Source organism: Homo sapiens, chromosome 10, assembly GCF_000001405.40.
Source record: "Homo sapiens chromosome 10, GRCh38.p14 Primary Assembly".
NCBI classification, from domain to species: domain Eukaryota; kingdom Metazoa; phylum Chordata; class Mammalia; order Primates; family Hominidae; genus Homo; species Homo sapiens.
The window spans coordinates 106,137,165-106,164,013 of NC_000010.11; the positions used below are offsets into that span (position 1 = coordinate 106,137,165).

At 35.7% G+C, this 26,849-nt stretch overlaps 2 long non-coding RNA genes across 5 annotated transcripts in view; one reads left to right on the forward strand and one right to left on the reverse strand.

Moving 5' to 3' along the window:
- The window catches only part of LOC105378469 (uncharacterized), a 39,631-nt gene extending 36,938 nt beyond the window's left edge, over positions 1-2,693 (reverse strand). The window contains exon 1 of one of the 2 annotated variants that reach the window (XR_007062381.1): positions 2,617-2,693. This is a non-coding gene — a long non-coding RNA (uncharacterized LOC105378469). Of the gene's footprint in view, positions 1-2,493; positions 2,578-2,616 lie in introns of those variants that run through there. The other variant, XR_007062382.1, reaches the window with a different exon arrangement.
- Positions 2,694-3,000: 307 nt separating this feature from the next.
- Positions 3,001-26,849, forward strand: part of LINC02624 (long intergenic non-protein coding RNA 2624) — a 48,558-nt gene continuing 24,709 nt past the window's right edge. The window contains exons 1-2 of one of the 3 annotated variants that reach the window (NR_134329.1): positions 3,001-3,162; positions 24,658-26,590. This is a non-coding gene — a long non-coding RNA (long intergenic non-protein coding RNA 2624). Of the gene's footprint in view, positions 3,163-20,466; positions 20,980-24,657; positions 26,591-26,849 lie in introns of those variants that run through there. The other 2 variants (NR_134331.1, NR_134330.1) reach the window with 2 other exon arrangements.

Here is a 26,849-nt window from a genome sequence, read left to right on the forward strand (position 1 = left end):
CATTCAACTGGTGAATGTACAATCTAATTATGCTATATCCACACAATTAACTAGTACTCAGCAACAAAGGCAGTGAACTATTAATATTTGAAACAATGTGGGTGAATCTCAAAAGCATTATGCTAAATGAAAGAAGCCAGATACAAAAATGAGATCATACATATCCTTGTCTACTTCCTAAAATCAAAGGACACTATTCAATACTTATTTAACCATGAAGAATTATGCTATCTGATGCCTTTGTGTTGAAACTCTTCACCAGACTGAGAAGGTTTTCTTCTGCTTCAAGTATGTTGAGAGTATTTATTATATGTGTTTAATTATATTAAATTTTCTTTTTTCCATTGAGAAAATCATTATTACTAATAGATTTTAAATATTAAATTATCTTACCTGGGATGAACCCCACTTGGTTATATTATATCCCCAAATCCAAATCCCTTGGCTATCTCCAAGTCAAAATCTCTTTAATATTCCTCATTACAGTAATGCAGTGTTTCCAAAATTCATTGCTTTTAACAGAACATTTAATTTTTCTGTTAAGACATTTTTCAGACTTTGTGTTCCACAGAACAACTATTTATAAATCACTGACATAAATAAGTTAATTAAAACCTGAAGTATATATCTAGCAATCATTAATTTCTTTCATCTTTACCCATGTATTCACCAATGACTTCTAACATTTTGAAATGAAAGACACAAGAATTGCAGTTACTCTTATGCTTACAAATGATCACTTTAAAGCACAATTTCAAAGAAGAGGCTACATATTCAAGTGGGAACAACTTGTGAATAAATCTTAAGATATTATTTGCCACATATTGATATAATAGTTGTAGAAAATGTTTTACTCTGTGGATGGTAGACTCACTCACTGGAAAGCTCTTGTAACTATATATTGATTCCTTAATGCAGTCATTTCCTTGAAATATATTCACTTGTCTTGATCTTGCTCTTTACAGTAATAATTTAATCACAGTTTTTCCCTGGTTAACCACTTAGCCGTCCTTTAAAATTTCAAGAAGTTCTGGTTATCACCTGAAATTAAATAAGGTAACCATTGACCTTCGAAGTTATATAAAAAACTTTTTTAAATTGGAGATTTTTTTCTCTGTAGTCAGAGTTACTATTTTCCCAGGGATGCTAAGTAACATTAATCTATGAAGATAGGTGCATTTTCCCTGCACACCTTCTCACACACACACACACACACACACACACACACACACCAATAGATACTTGAATTAGATACTTTTATTTGGAGAGATGGGATTCTTGAACACCTTGGCTCAAGAAATCCATTTGCCTCAACCTCCCAAAGTGCTCAGATTATAGGAGTGAACCACTGTGCCTGGCCAAAAAATATTTTTTAAGCAGTGACTTAGGTATCAAATATAAAATGAAAAGTATTTTATAAACTGGACTAGAACATTTAGTAAACTTCCTTGTTTTTATTTTTTTATTTTTTTTGAGACGGTCTCGTTCTATTACATGGGCTGGAATACAGTGGGAAGATCACAGCTCAGTGCAGCCTTGAACTCCTGGGCTCAAGCAATGTTCTCTCCTCAGCTCCCAAGTAGCTGGGCTTGTAGGCATGTGTCAGCATGCCTGGCTAATTTTCTTTTTTTCTTTTTTCTTTTTTTTTTTTTTTTTTTTTTTTTTAAGAGACGGAGTCTCATTTGTTGCCTAGGCTGATCTCAAACTCCTGGCTTCAAGTGATCTTCCCAGTGTACCCTCCCAAAATGCTGGGATTACAGGCATGTGGCACCATGCCCAACCTAGTAAACTTATTTTTAAGGTAGCTCAATTTAAATGTTGAATTGCGATAGACAGGAGAGACTAGACATTCTGCATTTGTCTGGGACGATTCAAACCTAAAACTTGGACCTTATCTTATGATGTGAAGGAAGGACTAGAACAAAGGTAATAATCACAGAGAGACCCAAACCAAGAAAGAATCTTTGCTTATGATAATGTTAAGGGAGATCACCTAGACAGCTTCTCCAGCCTAGCTGCTGGGGTAGATTCTGGAGAGGAGAGAGGAGGAGAAAGATGCCTGGGTTTTATCTTTGGTGAGTGAAGAATATTGTACTTTACTTACCATACTCTTTTTCTAAAGGGAGAGAAGAAAGGTAAAATACGGTGGGCTTTCTCCAGTTCGAAAGCAAGAAAAAGAAGACCATGGAAGTGACGAATTTTCCCTTCTATTAGGAAGAAAGGGGAAGGCTTGGGAATAGGAGAGAGTAAGATACTAGAAATTCTTCCTCTGAAGCTCAGTACTATTTTAATACTCTCCACATCACCCCCACTTTTTTTTGACATGTAACTTATTTCAAACAAACAAAGTAAAGTAAGCACTGAACTGTAAATCTATGAATGTGGACCTCAGTTTTCTTCATATGTAAAGTGAGAAGTTTGGGCTAGTCTCTGAGGTGTCTTCTATCCTCGTGTACCTGAAATGACCCAAGCTGCAGACACTGTTCGACACACCTTGTCACTACTGGAGTGGATGGCCAGGTGAATATTCTGGCTTGCTCATCCTGCTTGCAACAGCTGGGGCTGAAACAGCTTGTGGCAAATCTCAGGCTACAGAAGGCCTGGTCAAGGACTTACTCGCTGAGCACTGCTTCCTCTCCCTCTTGCTCAGCTTGGTAACAGTATCAAGGGCATAGAAACTGCAAGCTCCCCCAGGATCAGCAAATGCATTTTGTTCTTTAGGCTTCTCCTCCTGGTACTCTGCTGCCCTTTCTTCTCAGAAGCCCTACTGGGGCATTTAGCAGCTCCTTTTAGTCACTTTTGTGTCCAAGGGCTGATGCCCATGCAGAGCCTGCTGGCTATTGACTGACTAAAGTTTGGTGGTGGCCACCTCATGCCTGCAAACCACCAGGTTTGAGTATCTTGGGAGAAAGCTCTGGGATAATACCCTCCTTGATGTCAGAGTGTATGGGGCCTTGTTGAAGAGTTGCCAGGCAGCCAAGAGAAAGTGTTCCACACATAGAACAGGGGGAGACTTGAATCCTAGAGAAAACAAAACAAAACCTAACAAAACAGAAATGAACCCTTGATGAACCTCTTGCTCTGGACTGGTGCCCTGAAAATGAATGAAATTGTTTTAAAGATTACCAAGAAGATATAAAATATCAAATGCGGCATTAATGTGTGAGTATTATATTTTATTTTATTTTTAATTGTGGCATAACACATGTAAAATTTATCATCTTAGCTCTGTTTAAGTGCACAGTTGAGTAGTGTTAAGTGTATTCACATTGTTGTACAATCAATCTCCAGAACTCTTTTCATCTTGAGAAACTGAAACTCTATGCCCATTAAACAACAATTCCTATTCTTCCCTTTCCTGGATTCCTGGCAACCACCCTACTACTTTTGTTTTTAATAAATGTGACTACTCTACGTATCTCATATAAATAAAACAACACAGTATTTGTGTTTTTGTGACAGGTTTATTTCACATAGATAATTTGCTCAAAATCCATCCAGGATGTAGCATATGTCACAATTTCCTTCCTTTATAAGATTAAGTAAAATTTCCTGGTATGTATACGCCACATTTTGTTTGTCCATTCACCTGCTTATAGACAGCTGAGGTGCTTTCACCTTTTTGCTATTGTGAATAATTATGTTATGATAAAGGGTATACAAATATCTCTTTAGGATCCTGCTTTCCATTTTGGGGGGTATACATGCAGGCATGGAATTGCTAGATCATACAGTAATTCTACTTTTAATTTTCTGAGGGATCACCAAAATATAAGTGCTATTGTCTGAATATGTGTGTCTCCACAAAATTCATATGTTGAAATCCTAACCCCGAAGATGATGGTATTAGGAGGTGGAGGCTTTGGGACGTGATTAGGTCACGTGGGTGTAGCCCTCACGAATGAGATTAGTCCCCTTATAATAAAGAACCCAAAGAATTCTCTTGATTTGGTGATTGACATCATTTCCTCCATGGAAGTGAATATAAAAAGAGACACTGTAGAGGACCCTGAGATAATATATGGCTAATGATGAGACCCTTGCAGGTGGTATAGAAGCCTCTGGTTTGCCAGGGCAGATTCATATCTAGGATCAAAAGGATAACCCTAGTTGCTTAACAGGGAATAGAGTTGCATGAGAATGCAACAGTTTATTATAATGTATAGTTATTATAATAATTACAGGAATAGTTTATTATAATTTATAATTATATTAATTTATAATTATAATTTATAACTTATAATTTAAAAATATCTTTAATTGTACACCAAAGTCATTCATATTATATACATAACATATATATAATACATATATATGAATATTTCTGCAAACAAACCTTTCAAATGTAAAACCAGGAAAGAAGCTGATATTCAAACTGTCAGTTCTACTTCCTTGTCCAGCAAAGATGATATCAAGCAGAGTATATTGGAAATAACCTCATAAAAACTCAGGCACTAGTATACCATATACCTAATCCTAATGTCAATAAATAAACCAGCTGCTTGATAGAAGCCCACCAAACAAGTTCCTACATAGCCGACTTTCATTTCCTTACCAGGATGATAAGGAGGAAAAGAGATATCATTAGCTCTAAGATGGATACTTTAGAAGGAACAGTTCTTTCAATGATTCTAGAAATCTTATCTGGCTTATGTATCTTCTGGCATTCACAGAGAACCTGTAACTATTTTGCATACATTTCTTCTGAACCTATGTCTTATTTCTGCCTGCCACACAAATCCAGAGTACCTATGATTTAGATTACTATATTATTTTCCCAGTTGCCGTAATATATTCAAACAGATCAAGAATGTGAGATGTGCTCTAACTAGACTCGGAATAAAATCCTTCTAGTTCTTTATTAATCCCATTGCCTTGAAAAGCAAACAAAACTCTGCCCTGAGGTATAATACAAACCACTTGCTTTGTTATTACTATGGCTATCCTATTTCTTCAGGAGTGCTGTTGTCAGAAATGATTCTTCTGATTTTGGTGGTTGTAGCCTATATCATCATTTAGAGTTCACAGATATGAGAAAGCAATTGAGATGACACTTGTTTTACTAAAGTCAATATTAGTTAACCTGTTGTTTACCTGTAGTTCAGCCCTACATTTATAGACATGGGAATTTCGATCCATGTCTAGCCTGTCTCTGAGCTCTGTAGGCAGAAGCAGAGATGATTTCTAGAAAAATAATCCAGATAATAAAGGATTTGCTTCAACCTTTGTAAAGTATTTTCTCAAGCCTAAATCCCATTAACAATTACATCTACAAATGGATACCACATTTGTTTCTAACCACAATTTCAATGACTTCTACATAATCTTAATGATAATAACATGGGATAGGATGTTTGTGGCTCCTGATGGAAATCATCACAGATTTTGATGATCCCATGCATATTGTTTTACAAGGGCCTGGAGAAAATATTAAGGCCATGAGAACAGCATCTATGAAATGAACGCAGTGGAGCTAGTGCCAAGGCTAGGGTCTAGGAAAAGTTGACTTACCCCAAATTTGCTGATTGTGCCATTCAGTTGACTCTGCCCTTGCTCTTGGCTTGCTCCTTGGTCATACGTTCCTGGACTGAAGGCTTCAACATGCCTTTAGGAAAGAACAGCCAACATTTCTAGTAGGATATCCAGTACTGGGATCCAAGGCAAAATGCAGGCCACTGAAGAAGCTCACAGCTTCTAGTAAAGCTCAATTATGTATTTGTTGATGAGAGAAAGCCTCAGGGTGAAAGAGAGAATGTTGACTTAATTTATTAAATGAGAAAACTAATGGAAATAGATTCAATCATATATATTTCTACTTACTGTAGAAAATATATGATGATAGGACTACAATTTTCAGATGAGATTGAGAAACCAGCTGCCTTCAGCATCTTCTGTGACTGATTTACTCTAAACTAGGAATGAGATCTGCAAACCAACAGGTTCTACTCAACCACGCTTTACTTCCTGCTTTCTTGTGGAACCATGCAAGCTTAGGGAGACCTGTTAGTCTTGGGCTTGTGAACTACAGTTCTCCAACAGCAAATGTGTCATGCATTCCCTGGGCAGAAGGGTCCATGATCACAGACTGTGGTATCAAACTGTCTCCAACAGCAACCAAAGAGTGTGTAGGATGTCTGAGAAGGACACTAAGCAAGCTAACAGCTGGACTGGGAGAAAAAAATAACTTTCCATGGCATGTTCAAAAATTATGTGGTACCCTCAGAACATGCAAATAAACAATTATATGTGGATATAAGATGGCTACAAACATCTACACACACTGAAAATAAAATCTGCATCCATAATCAACAGAACTCTAGACTGGGTTCATATTCTTAAACATAAAATGCAACTTTTGAAGAAATTCTTAAAGTTTTATTCCTCTCTCCCAAAGAAAATCTTCACAACACTGTAATCTCTTTGTAGATTTTGAAACACTTCTATGAACAAAAATTATAATTTGATTTTTAGTCAAAATATTGTCCTGGATAGGTACCATAGTCCTTTAAGATGTGTTATCAGTACAATTTCCCAAATGGCTAATTTCTAACAATAAAGTCCAATTTCCCCTCCACAGCTAAGTGTCATGTTTTCTCATCTACTAAAAGTCAAGTGGCTCCTCTGGCTTGCAGATTACAAGACAATGTTTCGATGAGGTGTCAGGCTGTACCTGCATATGCTTCCTCTAATGTAGTCTTATCATTATCAAAGTAGTGATTTTGAATTTTGAAATGTTGGCCTGTTTTTACACAACATAATTCACATAACTCCACATAGATATTGAGATTTATGTAGTAGGATGTATTTATCTTAGCCAAGCCCATGTAGGAATAGCATAGGAAACAATATGTCATACTTGCATGCCTGAGTTGCTGGTCCTAGGTTTGGTGAAGTTGTCACTGTGGGTTAAGAATTTTCAGAACATTTTCCAGGGAGTACAGCAAGTTTTGGCATTTGGGTTGATAAAATTTAAAAGATGCTTTCAAGGACTTCTGCATTGAGACAATACGATCAAAAGGCAAAAGTCTGTAGCTTCTAGCTTTCACCTGTTTCAACCCTGAACAATGTTTCAGCCTGGACTCTAGTAAGCATAACCATTTGAAATTTGGGAGTAGAGTGAAAAGGTCATACCTCAGGACCTAAAATGTCGGAAAAAAAATACATGAGTCATTTGCACACAACATTTGCTCGAATGTTGCACAGAGATTGATTATAGAATATTTGGAAACCATTCTATGAACATTTGTAGCCAATGGCTTTCGTTCAGATGAGTTCTAAATTTATTAAGAAACAGAGACTAGATTTTTTTGATATTATTGAAATATTCAGTAACCACTACTCTTTTGAATGTTAATAGCATTAAATTTGTATTTGTATTTTGCCAAGGCACTCTCCATTACCTTACCCATGTTGATATAACTTTGCTTCTCGTAATACATACAAATGACCCTTAAATCTGTAGTAACTATAGTCCAAGAATGTAAATAGCTGAATATATGTGAATGAACACATGAAAGGATGGACAGAAGGATGAATTAAAAATAAAAATAAATAAATGCAGAAACAAATGAATGAATAAAGCCAGCAGAAAGTGAGTATAGTTAGTACCTGGGGAGGTGGGTATTAAACTTATGATAGGAAAGTCAGAGAAAGGGTCTCTGACAAGACAACATGAGTAAAGTAAGATCTGAGCAAAGGAGCTGAGAATGTAAGCCTTGTGCATTCTTTGAAGAAGAATGTTTCAGATAGAGGAAAGAGAATAAAGATCTAGAGGCAGAAACACATCTGACATGATTGAAGAACAAAGAGGCCAGTGTGGTGAGAGCAGAATGAATGAAGGGGAGAGATGTAGGATATGGGTTATAATTCCAGGGGAGACAGATTGTATGGGCCTTTAGAGGCCCCTATAAATATCTTGGCATTTATACCCAATAAATACAAATGTTTACTTAAAAATTATAATGGGAAATGAAATTTAAGTTCAGCTTTTCTGCATCATTCATAATATGTGAGGTATTATTTTTCTAGCAGTGGATGAGTGTTGAACTATACTATTTCTCATCCTTTTTGTTATCAATAGTCTTACTTATTGAGATGTGAGGCTTGTAGCTGTGGAATAAAAGAAAATTAACTGTAATTGTTACTGATTTAGTACCAAACACTAATATCCTTCATTAATGTATTTCTTCAATGAGGAACTCTAAGCAATTTCTATATGCTCAGTACTGTGCTAGGAAATAATTGCAAACTCCAGGAGGACTGGGACATGATTGCTTCAAACTGCTCCTTTTCAGGATTAGCATAGCTCAATAGCACATGCTCAATAATGTGTCCAGAATAAAGAAGTTACTAATAAATGAGGAAATGAGGATACAACAGTGAAGAGTATATAGTTGGTGTCTGATTTCACAGAACATACAGTCGAATGAAAGAGTGATTTTAAAATAAGCAACTATAGTACAGTTATGCACCAAACAATGTTTTGGTGAAGAACAGATCACATATATGATGGTGGTTCCATAAGATTTATTATGGAGCTGAAAACTTTTTATCACCTGATGATATCTTAATCATCTTGATCCTTTGTAGGTCTAGGCTAATACGTGTGTTTGTGTCTTAATTTTTAACAAAAAGTTTTAAAGTAAAATAAATAAATTTGCAATGGAAAAAAGCTTATAGAATAATGATATAATGAAAGAAAATATTTTTGTACAGCTATACAGTGTGTTTGTGTTTTGAACTGAAAGTTATTACAAGAATCAAAAAGTTAAAAAATTAAAAGCTTATAAAGTAAAAAATTACAGGTAAGGTTAATTTATTATTAAAAAATATTTGTTTATAAATGTACTGTAGCCTGATTATACAGTGTTTACAAAGTCTCCAGTAGTGTTCAGCAATGTCCTAGGCCTTCACATTCACTCACTACTCACTCACCCACTCACTCACCCAGAGCAACATTTAGTCCTGAACGCTTCAGTCACAGTAAGTACCTTACATAGGCGTACCTTTGTGTTTTTTAAATCTTTTACATTCTATAATGTTTGCACAATGACAAAATCACCTAAAGAATACGTTTTCAAACATATTCCCACTGTTAAGCGACTCAAGACTATGATGAAGGAAGGATAGTTTCAGAGTGATGGTGATTAGTCATTGCAGAATTCAGTAACAAAGTAACTACTGCCTAAAATATCAACACTAAGAAAAGTCATTGAAATACTGACCAGTGTTGTTGGAGAAAATTGGAAGAAAAAGACTAAGCATACAAATTGCAGATATTTATTTCTTGTTTAGAATATGATTAGGCTGAATGGTGAAATGCACCTAACAAAATTAAGTCAGCTTTATAAATGGTGCCGGGTTGTTTATTAGATTTGCTTGAAAATTTCTCAAAAAATTATCCAAGACTTTGGCAATTTACTACAAAGCCAATTCTATGAATATAATCACTAAAAAAAAAATCTATTGCCTCAGCATCTTCACTAAGAACAAGAGTAGGCACAAAACTCAAGAGTAATTTCAAAGCATGTTGATTTCTCCCATATTCTTCTTATGGATAATTCATTAAGGCCTTGCAAATGTCAATTCACAAATCAAAGACACATTTGTATCTTCAGGTTCTTACATGTAAAAAGAGAAACCATCCATGTTTATGTAAGAGATGTCATTTCAATTTATAATTACCTGTCAGCTTTCAGGAAAAATGAATATTCAAGAACACAGGAAGAATGACCATACAACAAAAAGGAAAACATCATGGATTGTTCTGGAAGTCATTAACTAAATTGTCTATTTACAAACCTTAGCATGACTCTAAAATTACCTAATGCTTTTCTTGTAGAAAATAAAAAAGAAATAGTATCTGACAAACAGAATCTTGATTATTAGAAGGGATTTTTATAGTTTCCAAAGCAGCAGTTGGCAAACCTTTTCTATAAAGGGTCAGACTAAATATTTCAAGCTGTGCAGGCTAAACATTCTCTGTCACTGCTACTCAACTCTGCCGGTGTAGTTGAAAGCAGGCTTTGTGAACAAATGAGCATGGCTGATAAAACTATTTACAAAAGCAGGCAGCATACCAGATGTGGCTCACGGGTTACAGTTTGCAGACCCCCATTCTAGAAGATTTTCAGATTAAAGAAGCTCTGGGGGTGCTTAGTATTTATCTGACCACAACCAGATACATTCCAAAGTCATGAGAGCTATAATATCTCAGGTGATATCAAGCCTGGAGAATAAATCCTATTTATGTAAGTCAACTGAAAAAGCAAATGGAGAACTTTACCTGAACTTGCCTGCAGTTGATACATTCTGGGAGACATGAAAAATACATTTTTTAATGACAGAAATTAACCCATAAAAAGATGTTTGAGGAAGAGGGATGTGTGAACCAAGTGTGTTCAATCTTTTTCAGCAGAACTGCCTGAAATTTACAAAAGCAGAAAATAGATTAAGCTAGATGTCAAGATGTCTGGATTCTATTACGGGCTTTGCTACTAAGAGCTCATATGACCTCTACACTTCAATTTCCCTAACTCTAAAAAAAAAGTATGTGAACTTGATGAACTTTGAAATTATTTCAGACTAGAAAAGTTGATGGTATTATGAATGAAATGAACGTTTTGATAATATTGCCAATTAAAAGAAACCATGACTGAGAGGGCCAATGGTGACTAAGAGGACAGGTGCCCCACCAGGCAGACCTGCTATGAGCATTCAACATCTGAGTTGCCAGGGACTTTTTAATGACAATGAAATCAAGATGATGGAATGCCTCATAGAGTACATGCCATAAGTTCCAGGCAGAGTCTGTTCAGCACCCAGATAATCGGTAGACAAATGTACAGTGTGGAAAAGGTAGAGAGAGACTAGCTGCCAATAAGCCAAAGCATTCATTGCTTGCAAAGTAGAAGCAAATGTTGCTCACATCAGAGCATATGAAGCAAGGCCTCCTATTTCAGTGTGTGTTGGTATCCATACATTTCTTTAAAGAAAAGGTCAATTTATACTCGGTTATATTTGATTATTAAAGGCTAAGATGCTGCATTTGACTGTGAATCTGGAAAACCCTCAATCCAAGAAATTCTCAAGAAAGGTAATCTCAGATTCCCAGGAGCTCAGGTTTCAAAATTCATCAGAAAGAAAGTACTAGTGGAGGACTGCTTGGAGAATATGCTACCTCTTGATGACACTGGGTTCTCTAAAATCTATCCTTCCATTGAGTCAGACCATCTGAGAAACAAACTTGTCCAATCTATCCCTCCTACCTGCTCACCATAGAATTGCTTTTACGGAATCAGAGTTTGCTGCAATGCTATAAATATACACTGATGATACTTACATACAGCATAGCCACATGTTCTGGGGTGCCTGGGAAAATCCTAGTTTATGCCTATTGTCCCAACATAATGACTGATGATAAATGCTTTTCCAAGAACCATTTTTCTCTTAATGAAGGCAACTTAAACAATTCAACCATTTTTTAAAAAAAATCATAGGGAAAAGGAAACAAACAAACAAACACGATTTAGTGGACCCTCTTATTTTTCCTAAATCAAGTGGGAAGAAAGAGAAGCATTCTCAACCAATGGATTTTCACCATTCTAGAGCAGGTATGGCAAATACTGACACTGAAAAAGGAAAATTAGTTAACGTCTTTCTGCTTCTTGGTCACCAAGGAAAGTGGATCTTGACTTGAATCACAAGTGGCACAGTGTTTCTGTGATCAGGGTTCAGCAAATAGATGGCAGTTGTATGACCTGATACATGCTTGCTCTCTTGCCTCAGGTTGCCCTGGAGAAATGACCAAAAGGCCATAGGTCCCTCACTTTTTGAGGACCACGTTTCACTGCAAGCAGCCAAGCATCTAGCACCCAGAAAGATTAGATAAAAACAACTCACCAATCCTTTTCAAATATATCACTTCCCTTTAAAGTACAGCTATTTGTTCCAGGATTCAACTAGCGACACAATATTCTAGTTATAGCATTTCACTATATTTTTAATATACCCAAATTTTAACTAATTTATGGGACACCAAAATGATCAAGTGGAGAGTACAACATTTGTTTTGGAGGAACCAGACTCTAAAATATTATCATCTACATCCTTTTATTTTCTTTAGTTTACATTTATTATAGCTTGTTATTTTAAATCATTGTTGGAACAAGGCAGTTTATAAATAAAGAATAGAAAAGTACGAATGAAATAGTGAGATGGCATGATATTTCCCAGGGTTCCTCAAACCATACTGAGACCTTCCAAGGGAAGAATGATCCTTGTTTATTTAACAATCAACAAATAGCAATGTGCACTACGTTAGGAAAGATAACACTATATCACCCCCTGAATATTCTGTGTAGCTTTAGGTGGTCTTACTTATTTCCTTTCCTTCTCTAGTAGTAGAGTGCAGTTGCACACAATGAGCATCTCTCCGATATGCAGCTCTTTTAATGAACAGCTCATATATTTGCTCAAAAGATAGGCCTGGGGAAATATAAGGCAATGGAAGATTTTGTTCTGCCCACTAATTTATTTAAAAATCCTTTGGATTGAGTGGAAAGACAGTTTTAATGGTCTTTTTACATCCTACAAGAAATATAATAATCACCAGCTAACCCAAACATAACTTTTGAAGGAATCATAGCTAAAGAAGAAAATGGGAAGGTAGTGCTGTGGGTTAACTTGTGTCCTCCGTAAAGATAAACTGAAGTCCTAAACCCCAGTACCGATAAATGTGACCGTATTTAGAAATAGGGCCTTTACAGACATAAGTAGTTAAGATAGTATCATACTAGGTACAGTGAGCCCTATATCCAATGACTGACACCTTTATGGAAGGCCATGTGAAGACACAGAGACACAAAGACTCAGAGGAAAGAAGGCCACATAACAACTGAATTAGATATTAGGATGATAAAGCTACAGTTCAAAGAACAGCAAGAACTGCCAGTAATCGCCAGAAGCTGGAAAAGACACAAAAACATTCTTAAATAGAGTCCTTAGAGGGAGCAGGAGCCTGCTGACACCTTTGTTTCAGGTTTCTAGCCTCCAGAACTGTGAGAGAATACATTTCTGTCCTTTTAAACCATATATTTAGCAGTACTTGGTTACAGCAGCCCTAGGAGATTACAGTAAGGGAAAAACTCCCTTTGTTAGGATCCCCTTATCACTTCCTTTCCAACTTCTTAATCTCCAGGGTAATATGCATTTTAATGAGATTCTATATTTTAAGTTAAAAGATGACAGTATAGTTTGCTAGTGAACAGCGTGAGCTTTGGAGAAAGAAAGATCTGAATTTAAATCTGGCTTTACCATTTAATTAATGAAGCATCTGGGCCAAGTCACTTGATCGCTCTAATATTCAGTTTCATTATAATTAAAGTGGGAATAATTACAATGTCTACTTAGAAATGTGATCATATAAGTAAATAATGAGCATTGACCTTACACGGGATAAAAGGCACAGAAATCAAAGACATTAAAGTCATAAAAAAGAAGTTAAATTGTTTGCAGATGCCATGATATTACATATAGAAAACCCTAAAGATCACCAAAAAACTGTTGGAACTAAGAAAGGAATTCAATAACATTTCAGGATACAAAATCAACATATAAAAATCAGTTGTTTTCTATACACTAACAACAAACTATCTGAAATCTGTAAGATATTGAATAAAGAAATTGAAGACATAAATAAATGAAAAACTATTCTGTGGATTGGACTGGAAGAATTAATATTGTTACAATGTTCATACTACCCAAAGAGGTCTATATGCTTAATGCAATCCTTATCAAAATTCCAGTGACATTTTTCACAGAAATAGAAAAAACAATCTAAATTTGGATGGAACCATTACATAGCCCAAATAACCAAAGCAATTCTTAAGAAAGAACAAAAAAGCTGGAGGCATCACAGTCCCCGATTTTAAAATATATTACAAAGCTATTGTAATCAAAACATCACGGTACTGGCACAAACAGACACATATATTCATGGACAGGAATAGAGAGCCCAGAAATGAACCCATTCATATATGATTAATTACACTTTGACAAGACTGCCAAGAATACACAATGGGGAAAAGATAGTCTCTTCAATAAAGGGCGATGGGAAAACTGGATATCCATGTGTAAAAGAATGAAATTGCACACTTCTTATATACCATATTAAAAAACTAACTCGACATAGATTAAAGATTTAAATGTAAGACCAGAAGCCATAAAATTCCTAGAAGAAAATAGGGGAAAACTCCATGATATTGGTCTTGGCAATCACTTTTTGGATATGACACCAAAAGCATAGACAATAAAAGCAAAAATAAACAAGTGGGACTACATCAAATTAAAAAAAAAAAAATCTTCTGCATAGAAAAGAAAACAATCATCTGGACATGATGTCAAATGCCTGTAATTCCAGCACTTTGGGAGGCTGAGGCAGGAAGATGCCTTGAGCCCAGTAGTTTGAGACCAGCCTCACCAACATAGTGAGACCCCATCTCTGCATTTTTTTTAATTAGCTGGGCATGGTGATGCATGCCTGTAGTCACAGTTACTTGTGAGGCTGAGGTGGGAGGATTGCTTGAGCCTGGGAGGTTCAGGCTGCAGTGAGCTGTATTCATGCCAGTGCACTGCAGCCTGGGTGACAGAGCAAGGCCCTATCTCAACAAAAAAGAAAAAGAAATCAACAAAATGAAAAGGCAACCTACAGAGTGGGAAAAATATTTGCAAACCATGTATCTGACAAGGTATATGGAAATATATAAGGAATCCAAATAACTCAATATATATGACAATATAAAAATACAAATAAACCCGATTTAAAAATGAACAAAAAACCTTAATAGACATTTTTCTAAAGAAAACATACAAATGACCAACAGGTATATGAAAAAGGTGTTCAACATCGCAAATCATCAAGGAAATTCAAATCAAAACCATAGTGAGATATTGCCTCACTCTTGTTAGGATGGCTATTATCAAAAAGACAAGAGATAACAAGTGTTGGCCAGGGTATGGAGAAAGGAAACCCTTGTACACCATTAGTGGGAATGTAAGTTGGCACAGCCATTATGGAAAATAGTATAGAGGTTCCTCAAAAAATTAAAAATAGAATGATTATATTTTCCAGCAATATATACTTCTGGGGCTATATCTTGATAACTTGAAATCAGTATATAGAAGAGATATCTGCACCACATGTTGATTGCATCATTATTCAGAATAGTCAACGGCTACACATAATCGAAGTGTCCATTAATGGATGCCACATGTATCATGGAATATTTATCAGCCATAAAAATAAGGACATTCTGCCATTTGTTACATCATGGATAAACCTGGAGGATATTATGCTAAGCGAAATAAACCAGACAGAGAAAGAAAAATACTATATAATCTCGCTTATGTATGGAATCTAAAAAAGTAAAACTCATAGAAGCAGAGAGTAGAACAGTGGTTGTCAGGGGCTGAAGGGTGGAGGAAGTGGAGAGATATTGTTCATAGGGTACGAAATTTTTAAAATTATTGTTCAGTTTTGTTAAGGTATAATTGACAAATATAAATCATATATATGTATGAACAATGTAATTTTTTGATATATGTGTTGTGAAGTGTTTAAATCAACCTAATTAGCATATGCATCACTTCACGTACTTAATTGTTTGTGTGGAGAACATTTAAGATCTACTTGCTCAGCATGTTTCAGGTATATGATACATTACTATTAACTGTAGTCACCATCCGATCAGACTAAAACTTTGTAAAAAGGGTAATAACTTTTTGTTGTAAGACGAATTGTTGTGAGTACTAATGGATAGCATGGTGACTATAGTTAATAACACTGTATGGTAACAGTGGATTTTAAATGTCTTCAGCCCTCTACACACACAAATGATAACTATGGCTACTGATGGATGTGTTAATTTGATTGTGGTAAGATTACACAGTCTACACATGTATCAAACCATTGCATTATCCATCTTAAATATATGCAATGTTGTCAATTAAATATTTAAAATAAGAAAAATAAAAACCAGTTTAGGATTTAGGTTCATGCCAGCCAGGAGTATGATTGCAACAGATATGGGGTAGAACTGAAATGGACAGCATATGGAAGTCTTTTCTAGCTATGGGGTCTCACGACCCACTTAATAGGGCAGTGGTGGCTATATGGATTCCTGCAGATTTGGCAGGAAACTCAGCAGGACATTGAGACTCTGCTAGAAGCAAGAAGCCCTGTTTTTCTTTCCACCCCCACCAATCTGTCAAGATTTAAGGTTTGGATTAGAAATTAAAACAAAGATGGTAGCAAAAGAAGCACAATGTAATTTTTCATCAAAGGGCCTCAGCTAAACTGCTCTTAAAGATTCAAGCTGGAATATGTCACCCAAACTCTCATTCTGTTCTATTTTTAATTTCTCAGCCATCACAGATGTTGGGGTGTGAGTGTGTTTGTGTGTGTGTGTGTGTGTGTGAACTAATTAACTTTATTTTGCATTATGACACTGCAGCTCTTGTTTTGGCTATATTTCTCCTATAAGTCAAGAAAGAGTAAGTAGAAAACAAAACTGCAAAATCACACGTATAGCTACCACTCCTCTAATATTTATCTAAATCAATATTTACATAAAGGTGTAAAAAGCAAAGAATAAACCAGAAGTTGTGGTGTTCCTGAACCTTTCATGTTGCATAATACTCTATTACTACTTCTTACGTCCTCTGGTACCTGCTAGAGTTTAGAGTTGTGGTCATGGATTTGAGAAAGCAAGGGACATATCTACACATGCAAAAATGACAATGAAGTTCACATCCATGAGTTATTATCTTCCACAGTTATTTAGCTGACCATGGAGAAAAAAAAGAAGTCTTACTAGATGAATAGGGGCAATGAGGAAGTGGAAAATAATTTTGCATTAAGGCTCTACAGTGTATGCTCCCCACATTATTTCTCTTTTAAACATGAAATTCAAAGCACATAAATCATTAAGATATAGCAAAATCCCATGCTTTACTGGAATTTAGGGAATATAAATGTTTAAATACCAAGCATTAGCATTCTTCTTTCAGATGATTTATATTTTGAAGTAATCAAAGTAGTAAACTTGCATTCCTCCTCTCTTAGAAATAATTTTCCAAATAACCCTGTTATATTGATTTCTACCGTCTCACACAAATACACATACACACACACACACACACACAAAACACAATCACAGAAGTTGATGTCACACAAATGTGTTATATATTTTGTTCTTTACTTAATGACCATCTGCCATAACTTATTAAAAATTGTATATATTCAAGGTGTACAACATGATTTGATATATGTATGCAGATAGTTCCCAACTTATGCTGGTTCAATTTACATTTTTTCAACTTTAGAATGGTGCAAAAGTGATATGCATTTATACAGTACTCATAAAACTATTATGTTTTTCACTTTCAGTAAACCACATGAGATATTCAACACTTTATTATGAAATAGGCTTTGTGTTAGATGATTTTCAGACGATGTTATTTTCAAATTGCAATGGATTTATTAGGATGTAGCCCCACCACAAGCCAAAGAACATCTGTGCATTGTGTAATGACTGTCAAAATCAAATTAACACTTCAAATACCACCCATGCTGTACATTAGATTGCCAGAATTTGTCATTTTATAACTAAAAGTTTGTACCATTTGATCAGCATGTCCCCATTTTCCCCAATCCCCAGTTCCTGGGTGACCACAGTTCTACTCTCCATTCCTATGAGTTAGACTTTTTAGATTTCACATATAAGAGAGACCATACAATATTTTTCTTTCATTTCACTTAGCATAATGTCCTCCAGGTACCATGACTCCTCAAGTAAACTGTGTGTTTCTTGGCGGCAGATGCTCTTTCCTTCTTTTATGTCCCCAATAGTTTCTAAACCAAGACTGCACAGAAGTGCTGCAGGAGTGCTACAGGGGATAGAGGCCATAGTTCCAGCTTCTGGTATTTATTTATTGTGTGTACCACAAAATGTAGATCAAGGATTTGTAAAAGAAAATATTAATACTTGACTTTTAGTGGGTAGTTGTCATCTGACCCCATATATTGAAGGAAACCGTAAATCTAGGATGGAGTAGTCTTACAGCATGATAGAATCTCAGCAAGGCTATGGGCTCTTCTGAAACTAAACATACAGGCAGCAGTCAAACATTTACAGTGATGATTTGGGGATGTTAGGATTCAGGACATTTTATATTCTGATTCTGTAATCTAGGCAAAATGCTAAAAATACATTTTGATTGTTTGGAGAAACAATGAATAGAAAGGGCAAGCATCATGAAAACTGAAAGTTTCTAAAAGCTTTCTTCAAATGCAGGAAGGACTCTCACATGGAAGTGGACATGCTATTTCACGTGGAGCCAGAAAATACAAAACAGCAATAGAAGTAAACATGAAATGTATTATAATAACTAAATAACTTTCTTATTAAAAATATGCTCAAAAAGAAAAGGTGGCCTTCAGATACAGGTTACATTTACTAGAATCAGTGAAATAAAATATTGATTGAGCACTGGCCAAGGACACACGGGGATTTCAAGTGTGTGTGTGTGTGTGTGTGTGTGTGTGTGTCACCTAAGTTACCTTCCAATTCTATGATTTTATGAAATGTAGCCACCCATTGCAATTAAAGGAAAATTTTAAGTGACTTAACAAAGATTAGGCACAGGCTCATGGACCATTAAGATATCATCATAAATCTCCAAAGAAAGGAGATAAGTTAGCATCAAAAAGATGCTTTGATTTTTGACCCTATGTCACTTTAAAATTGCAGAGATCCTAAAAGAAACCAAGGAAGATCAAAATTCAAGCTATACACTCTTTCCTGGTGACTACTTACATCTAGACAGTGAAATGTTTCCTGATAAAACACAGTGATTTATGTTTGTGTTTTAATTTTGAAAAATGAAGACAACCGTGGATTTAATTCTGGAAAATCAGTATACACTTGGTCATGCCCCGATACCCACATCTGTATACTATTCATGCTCTGCCATGTTTTACAGTGCTCAAGCCCAACAGATTTATGGTAACTGGGCCTAGCAATTCATGGTACCCTGGAAAAAAATGAAGTGAGACCATTAAACATGGAGAAGAACACTTACTAAGAAATCAAAAATTTATTATAATACAAGTGTATTAAAGGCTATCCCCCTCATTGTGGCCCAACATGACTGTCTTGTTTCATCTGATACTATACATACTTTTGTCTAAGAAACTTATGCTGGCCATAATGACATTGAAGGAAAGAAAAACAGAAAAGTAAGCTTTTCTCATCAAGTCTTCTTTCAGAGCCAGAGATTCTAGACTCTGCGGATTAAGTTGCTCTATATTTTTTCTCTGTTCTAGATTATTGGCCTAAGAAACTTCTAAAGAAGAGTGGGGAATAGGGAAGCTTCTTTAAGATTCTAGGCAAAAATTTTCCTCATGTAGCTCCCAGATCCTAAGAACCAAGGTCATAACATTCTACTCTCCACCAATACTCAGATGATAGATAAAACCAGAATGATAAAACTTCAGAGCCTTTAATATTACCATGACATAAACTCTATGAGGCCAGCGATTGTTGTCTAATTTTTCTGTAACTCTTTTTTAGGGTGTGGGACAGTGCCCATCATGCAGAAAGCATTCAATAAATGTTTGTTGAATAAATGAATGAATAACAAATCAGTGTGTCATTGAATTAAGTTTGATAATGGCATCAAATTATAGAGAAAGTATTTGCAAATCCTGCACTCAAGAAAAGAAAACATTTTATGCATTAACATGATCATTGAGAAATTGATGTTTTAAAATTAGGCTCCTGCAGAGTTCCATTTTACTTCAATTTTATATATATATATCTCTCCAGAAAATCAAACATTATCATTGTTTATATGTTATTGATTTAGCTCTCTGGACTACATTTCAGAGTTGATCCTGCACCATCTCACATTCAGGGCTCTTTGCAGGTGCAGGTGCAGGTGCAGGAACTGCTCCAAGAACTCGAGACAAAGGTTCTTTGGAGCAGGTTTTGATGCTCACATTGAGAATGTGGGAACTTGTCAGATCGTTCCTTCCCACTGTGTTTCATTTGTTTATTTGTCTTTAACTAGCAAAAGTGAGAAACTCTTTATAGGTCAATGGTTATGAGGTTGGCCCCTGGAGTCAGACTGCCTGGGTTTACCATTCACACCACTTAAAATCTGTGTTATTTCTGAGGCTTAATTTCTCCATCTGTATAATGGACTCAAAGCAGTACCTAATTCACAGATTTATTTTGAGGATTGAGTTTGGAGGTGGAAGTTCACAGCACAGTGCCTGGTATACAGTAAGTGTTTAATGATTGATAGATTAATAGGTAGTAAGCATGGTAATAACTGTATCCCACCCTTCCTTTTCATGTTCCCTGCTATGTACCATTCTTCTACCCCTACCCTGCCGCCTTACAGAAGAATCCCCTGAAAACATGCTGGTATTTGAAAATCCTGCATTCCCAGGAAGGGTGTGCACATGGAGGATCCTGACGGTACCTGACTGTGTGCAGATGCAGCAGCCCAAACTCTGACTCTGACCCTACTTCTGTATCTTAAGCCCGGTAGATCCCTTGCAACTATATGATTCCTCTGTCATCAGTTGGTGATAATGGTGCCAGAGAGGGCAGAATTGTTTCAGAATTCAGAGAGAGGATGGCATGTTAAAACTGGAAGAAATATTCTAGATCAAGACCCTTATTCAGTAGATGAGGACAACGAAAGTAGAGAAACAGTGTGCCCGACCCAGGTCTGGCTTACTGAAATTCCTGGTTGATGTCTCTGTGCCCCCTATTCCTGCCCACCTCTCCCACTTCCCGAGAATGTTTAGTCATGACAACCAAAAGAGATTCGTTAATCAGGGGACCCACTTTGGTGAAAGGAGATGATTCTGTATCATTAACTGATTAAATAAAACAAATTCCAATACAACATTTACTTTTCTGTCTGCCACCCCTTGGAGGAAAATTTCAAGAAGAAACAAAACTAACTAGCAAACTACATGTTAAGCATTCCAATATTCTGTTTTTAACAAAATATTTTAGCATTTTAAGAAAAAGAATATGAGGACTTTAACAAAGAAAAACTGGACCCCCATTGTATTTTAATTTTAACTTTTGATGAGCCACATTGTTCTAGCTATATTAATTTGAATCCATCTGGCTTACACAGAGAGACATTTCAAATGCTTTCCATAATAGCGGGAAGGAATGATCTCATGAGGAAAGGATTTTTTCATGCTGCTGGATTCTTGGAGGCTTTTGCTGAGAATCATCATGTAGGGTGAGGTGGAGCATCATGCATTTATTTAACAAATATGTATTGAGTAGGTGACGTGCCAGGTACCGTGTCAGCTACTAGGTTTATGAAAATGAGATTCGGACCTTATTCTCAAGGAGCATAGTATCTAGTAGGAAATACTAGTATGTTAATTAATTACTAATAAAAGTCACAGTAAATGTAATACTAGTGTATATTCAGTGTGCTCTGTTAGTCTTAGAAGTGGCCCCTAGATCATGCTGGGACTAAAATAAAAGATCTCTGAGGTGCTGACTCCTGATGGACAAACTGGGAAAGAAAAACTCTTCGAATTAAAGAATAACAGGAGGCTAAAAGCTTTGATTTTAACTTAGCAGATAACTGGCAAAATCTAATCCAGCCTTACCTCACTTTCCATTGAAGAATTTATTAAAATCATACAAATGATTACACTCTGGGAATACTCATTAAACACCTGCAAGATTCTATGGGAAATTTTCATTAATCAAAGCCCAGATGTGACCCCATGGCCAAATATTTAGAGACTATTGGAAGAAGGCTGATTTTTCCTTATGTCAGTTACCTGCTCCTATCCAGTAACAAGATTTCTGTCTGTGAGGGAAAAGCAAGAACACTGGATATGTCTGTGGCTCTGAGTGGACCTTTCTAATAGTGCTGACTTTCATCCTATCCTCTGCCCAGGTTGTGACCTTAGTGACTAGCAAATTAACCAGCCTCTGCATGTGAGCTCACGTTTCCTCTTTATGGGATTGTTAAAACAATAATCTAACTGCCTGACACTTAAACAATGGGATATTTTTTAATCCGAAGGGCAGTTGTTTCATTAGAAAGAGCATAAATCTCAGCAAAGTTAAGGTTTTAAGCAGTGGTGAGTTTCACAAATAGTCGTAGTTCCACAGAGCACCCTCATTCTTGCCATTACTTCACATTCATGTCAGGTTTAGAACATTCTCTGGGTTTCAGTTAGGAAAGGGGACTCAGGGGCTAGAGCTCTGATTGGAAATTAATATGTGGAATGTCAGACTTTGATTACAAATGTCACAATTATTTCCTTGATTAGATCAGTTTCACAGCTTCATGTCATTGTTCAACAATTTTATTAAATATCCACTTTATGCCATGTACTATTCTATATGCTGGAACATACCAGTAAATAAAAAGCTAGGGGTACCTACACACTGTGATTTCTGTGGAACTGGGAAACTGTCTATCATAATGGCACCAGAGCACTTACATGTTAGTCCAATTGCTTGTCAGTTCTATCACTGCTTAAAAGTGATAGTAAATTCAACTTTTCTTTGACTCTCAAGAAACAGAAAACATTTTAAATCGGTAATTTTATTACAACAATGACTGGTGTAAAAAGTAGCCAATAGAAGAAGAAAGTTAACATACCCAGAAGATGTAAATCTTAAATATAGGGCATGCTTGTTTATAAATATTCAGTATAAGTAGCTTTTGCTACCTATACTTAAAACTTCTCTCTTTCTCTCTCTCCATATATATATATATATATATATATATATATATATATGAAATACAATAAGTGTACAGATCATAAGTGCACATTCCTTGATTAATACCCCATTTCAATTTTTTTTAAATTTTATTTTTTGGATTACTAAATAATACAAATTCCCAATATTCATAAGACTCAGCTGATGTGTATGTCCCCAGCTTCATATATAGAAATAAATATCAGTTTAAGATAATAAATATTAGATTAAAATATGAAAGGCAAATGGCACAAAAATTCCAGAGCCTAAAATACTGATTTCTGAAAAAAAGTGATAATACTTTACAGTCCAGTTTAGGATGTAGGTAGTGGTCAATTCTATACATGCTGCTGTGTTTCTAAAATCTTGACCTTATTTGGTAGAAAAACTAGAAGAGAAATTGCCCACATGAATGCATGTGTGCACACACACACACACACACACACACACACACATATCAACCGTCCTCAATTCAAAAGGGAATAGAGAAAATTCTGCTCATCTGGTATTCCTCCAGAACCTGAGGTGTAAAACTAAAATAAGATATCCCCCATAGAATCCAAAATTGGGATCCAAATTTACACCACACATGGTGCATAAATTACGTGATGAGAACTTATTGTTAAAATAGGTCTAGGCTTATTAAGTTTTGCAAGCTCTTGGCAGAAATAAAACTCCAGATTTAATCAATAAAACAGAAACTACTATAATCCAGCATGAGCAAAACTCTCATGGACAAATAATTCTTGCCAACGATAACCTCTTATCAAAAGTCACCCAATACATGAAGAAATGATTCTATCTAATAGGCAGTCTATTGGCACAACACAAAATAACATCACAGAACTTGATATAATGGTACAATCTGAAATAGGTTCTTAAATAACTATAAAAAATGAGATTAAAAGGATCGAAGACAAAATACAGAAAATAAACCAAAAAATAATAAGAAGCCATGAATAAACAGAAGAGATTTTAAAAAAACAGAATTTCTATAAATGAAGACTAGTCATTGAAATTTAAAACGTAGGAGATGATAACTAGCAAATCAGACATGGCTAATCTGTAAACTGAGGATAAATTTGAAGAAATCATCTGAATCCAGCACAGAGATATAAGAACTAGAGCAGTAAATCTCAAAGTGTAGTCCTCACATCAGAATTTCAGCATCACTGAAAACTTGTTAGAAATGAAATTCTTAAGCTCTGTCCTAGATTTGTGGAATCAGAGATTCTAAGGACAGGGATCAGTAATCTCTTTTAAGAAGCTCTCCAGATGATTCTGATACATGCAAAATTGAGAACTGTACTAGAGAATATAAAAGAGAGGTTAAGAGATATAGAAACATAGAAATTGTACAAAATACTTTAAATATTCTAGGGGAAATTAAATAGGATACATTTAAAAAGAAGCAATGTTATAAACTATATGGCTGAGAATACTACCAAAATGAAAAAGGAGAGAGCTTTCAGATTGAGAAATAAAATGAGCCACCAACATAATAAGTGAAAGCAAGTCCAATTATATATATTATAGTAAGCCTGCAGAGTATCAAAGGCAACGATGTTATTTTAAGGGCAACCAGAGGAATTTGCTATCAAAATAGTGGTGTAAAGAGTATAGTGAACCACATTCCCAGTAGAAAATAAAAATCATTTAGTGAGTGAGTATTTTTTTAAAACTAACCATGCAAAGTCTTTGGAAATTGTCATCTGGGTATACAGTAAATGAACAACCATTTATTCAAGAAAATCTACTAAATGTATGTAAGAACAGCAAAAATATGTGGCACTTAAGCCGAAACTCAGTACCATTTCTATCCTGCCCCTCCTAGATCTGTGTGATGAAAACTCTAGTTCAGTCATTTGAAGACATGGGGCTTCCTCCCTACCTCGCTCTCAGTCAAGGGTTACAGTTTTACTCCAGGAACAGCATGAACATGTCATTCCACTCCAGCCCTGAATTGCAGAATCTCTATTCTGGGTAGCCATGAGTGGGAACACTGATCTCCTTTACCTTCCCCAACACCCACTCTAATGGCAGAAGTTATGCCCCAAGCACAACAGATCGAGGAAACTGGAATCTATAACAGCCCTGCCCAACTTGCTTAGGGTAGAGGTTCAATGTCAACAAGGACAAGTTCAAAAGTTCAGGATCTATTTCCCTGCCCAGAGTACCACTTGTTGAGTAGAGGTGTCACCCTAAAAGAAGTGGGCCACTGCCTTCACCATCAGCCCAGCTAAAGTGGCACAGAAGTTCTATCCAGAGGAGAGGCAGAAAATAAGAACAAAGAGCTCAGATCTCTTCCTAAATGAGTTTACTTAATTTGGAAGAAACTGTGAGTTCATGACTGAGGGCATTGTTGAACACAATGGAGATCACCAAATGAGCAATTAAGAAGAGACTTGTAGCTCTCTGATACCCATAACAAAAAGCAAAATTGTAGATGAGATAGATATTTAATAGAGAGAACCAGAGAATAAGATAAGAGCCTTCATGGGTTCAGAGCAGCCTTCAAGACTGGAAAGATCCTCCCCCCGCAGAGGGGCCTTACTTTTAACTGGATCAAACTGTGGAACAATTTATGCCTCAAAGCATTGCTTCAAAAAAATAGAACAATTAGAAAGCAATTTGTGGATGCTAAAAGCTAGGCATGATATTAATAGAAGCAGAATTTCCCAGGTGCTCAGAGAGATTATGTAGGCCAAGTATGCACATTCTGAGAAGAAACATCAGAAGCTATACACTACTGGGGAAATAGAATTCACTGAAATAGTCCAGTCATCTCACATTACTAAACAAATAGACACACAAACAAGAACAAACAAGAAGTGCCAAAAGGGGTGAGAAAGATAAGAATTCAGAGTTGCTACAGTATATGAAGTAAAATATCCAGTTTTCAATTCAAAATCATGAGACATGCAAAGCAACAGGAAAGTGTGAGCCATATACAGGAATATTGTCTGCTTTGTAGAGGCAGACGATAAAATCTGCCTCTAGGAAGGCCCAGATGTCAGATTTAACAGAATAAAAAGAACTGAGTCAAAGTATCCCTTATAAATATATCAAAAAACTAAAGGGAACCATGCTTAAATATGTTAAAAGAAGCTATGATGACAATGTTTTAGCTGAGAAGATTATAAACATAGCCACATGTAAGTTCTGGAGTGAAAAGTTCTATCATCAAAATATAAAATCCACTAGAGAGGCTCAACATTATATTTGATACAGTTAGCACATTTGAAGATAAATTGATAGAGATTATGTGACCCAAAAAACAGAGAGAAAATCAAATTTTAAAAAATGTATAGAATCTCAGAGAAATGTGGACACCATTAAGCATACCAACATATACATAAAGGGTGTACCTGAAAAAGAGAAGAGAAAGGAGCAGAAAAAAATATTTTAAGAATAATGAGTGAAAACTAAAAATTGATGAAAAAATGATCTGCACATCAAAGAAGCCCATTGAACCCCAAGTAGGATGAATGCAAAAAGATCTACCCAGGTATATCAGAGTAAGAATGCTGAAATCTAAAGACAGAAAATACTGCAAGCAGCAAGTGGAAAATGACTTTGCTTGGACACAGGAAACTTAGTGAGATTAAGATCTTCTCATCAGGAATAATGGCGACCAGGAAAGAGTGGGGTGACATATTCAAAGTACTGAAAGAAGAAATAAAAAACAAAAAAAAGCTGTCAACCAAGAATTATACATCCAGCAAAACTATCTGTAAAAATGAAGATGAAATAAATATATTCTCAGATAACAGAAGCACTGAGAAAATATATTCTTAGCAGACTCATCTTACAAAAATACTTAGAAATTTCGTCAGGCTGAAAGTAAGTGATCCCAGATAGTAATTCAAATCTGCATGAAAAAAGAATGATTATTGGTAATGGTAACTGTGTAATTTAAAAAGATAGTATAAATGCATGTTTTGTCTCTTTTCTACTCTCAACAGATTGATAAAATATTGTCTAACACAATTTGTATATAATTGTACTTTTTATATTGGGCATATA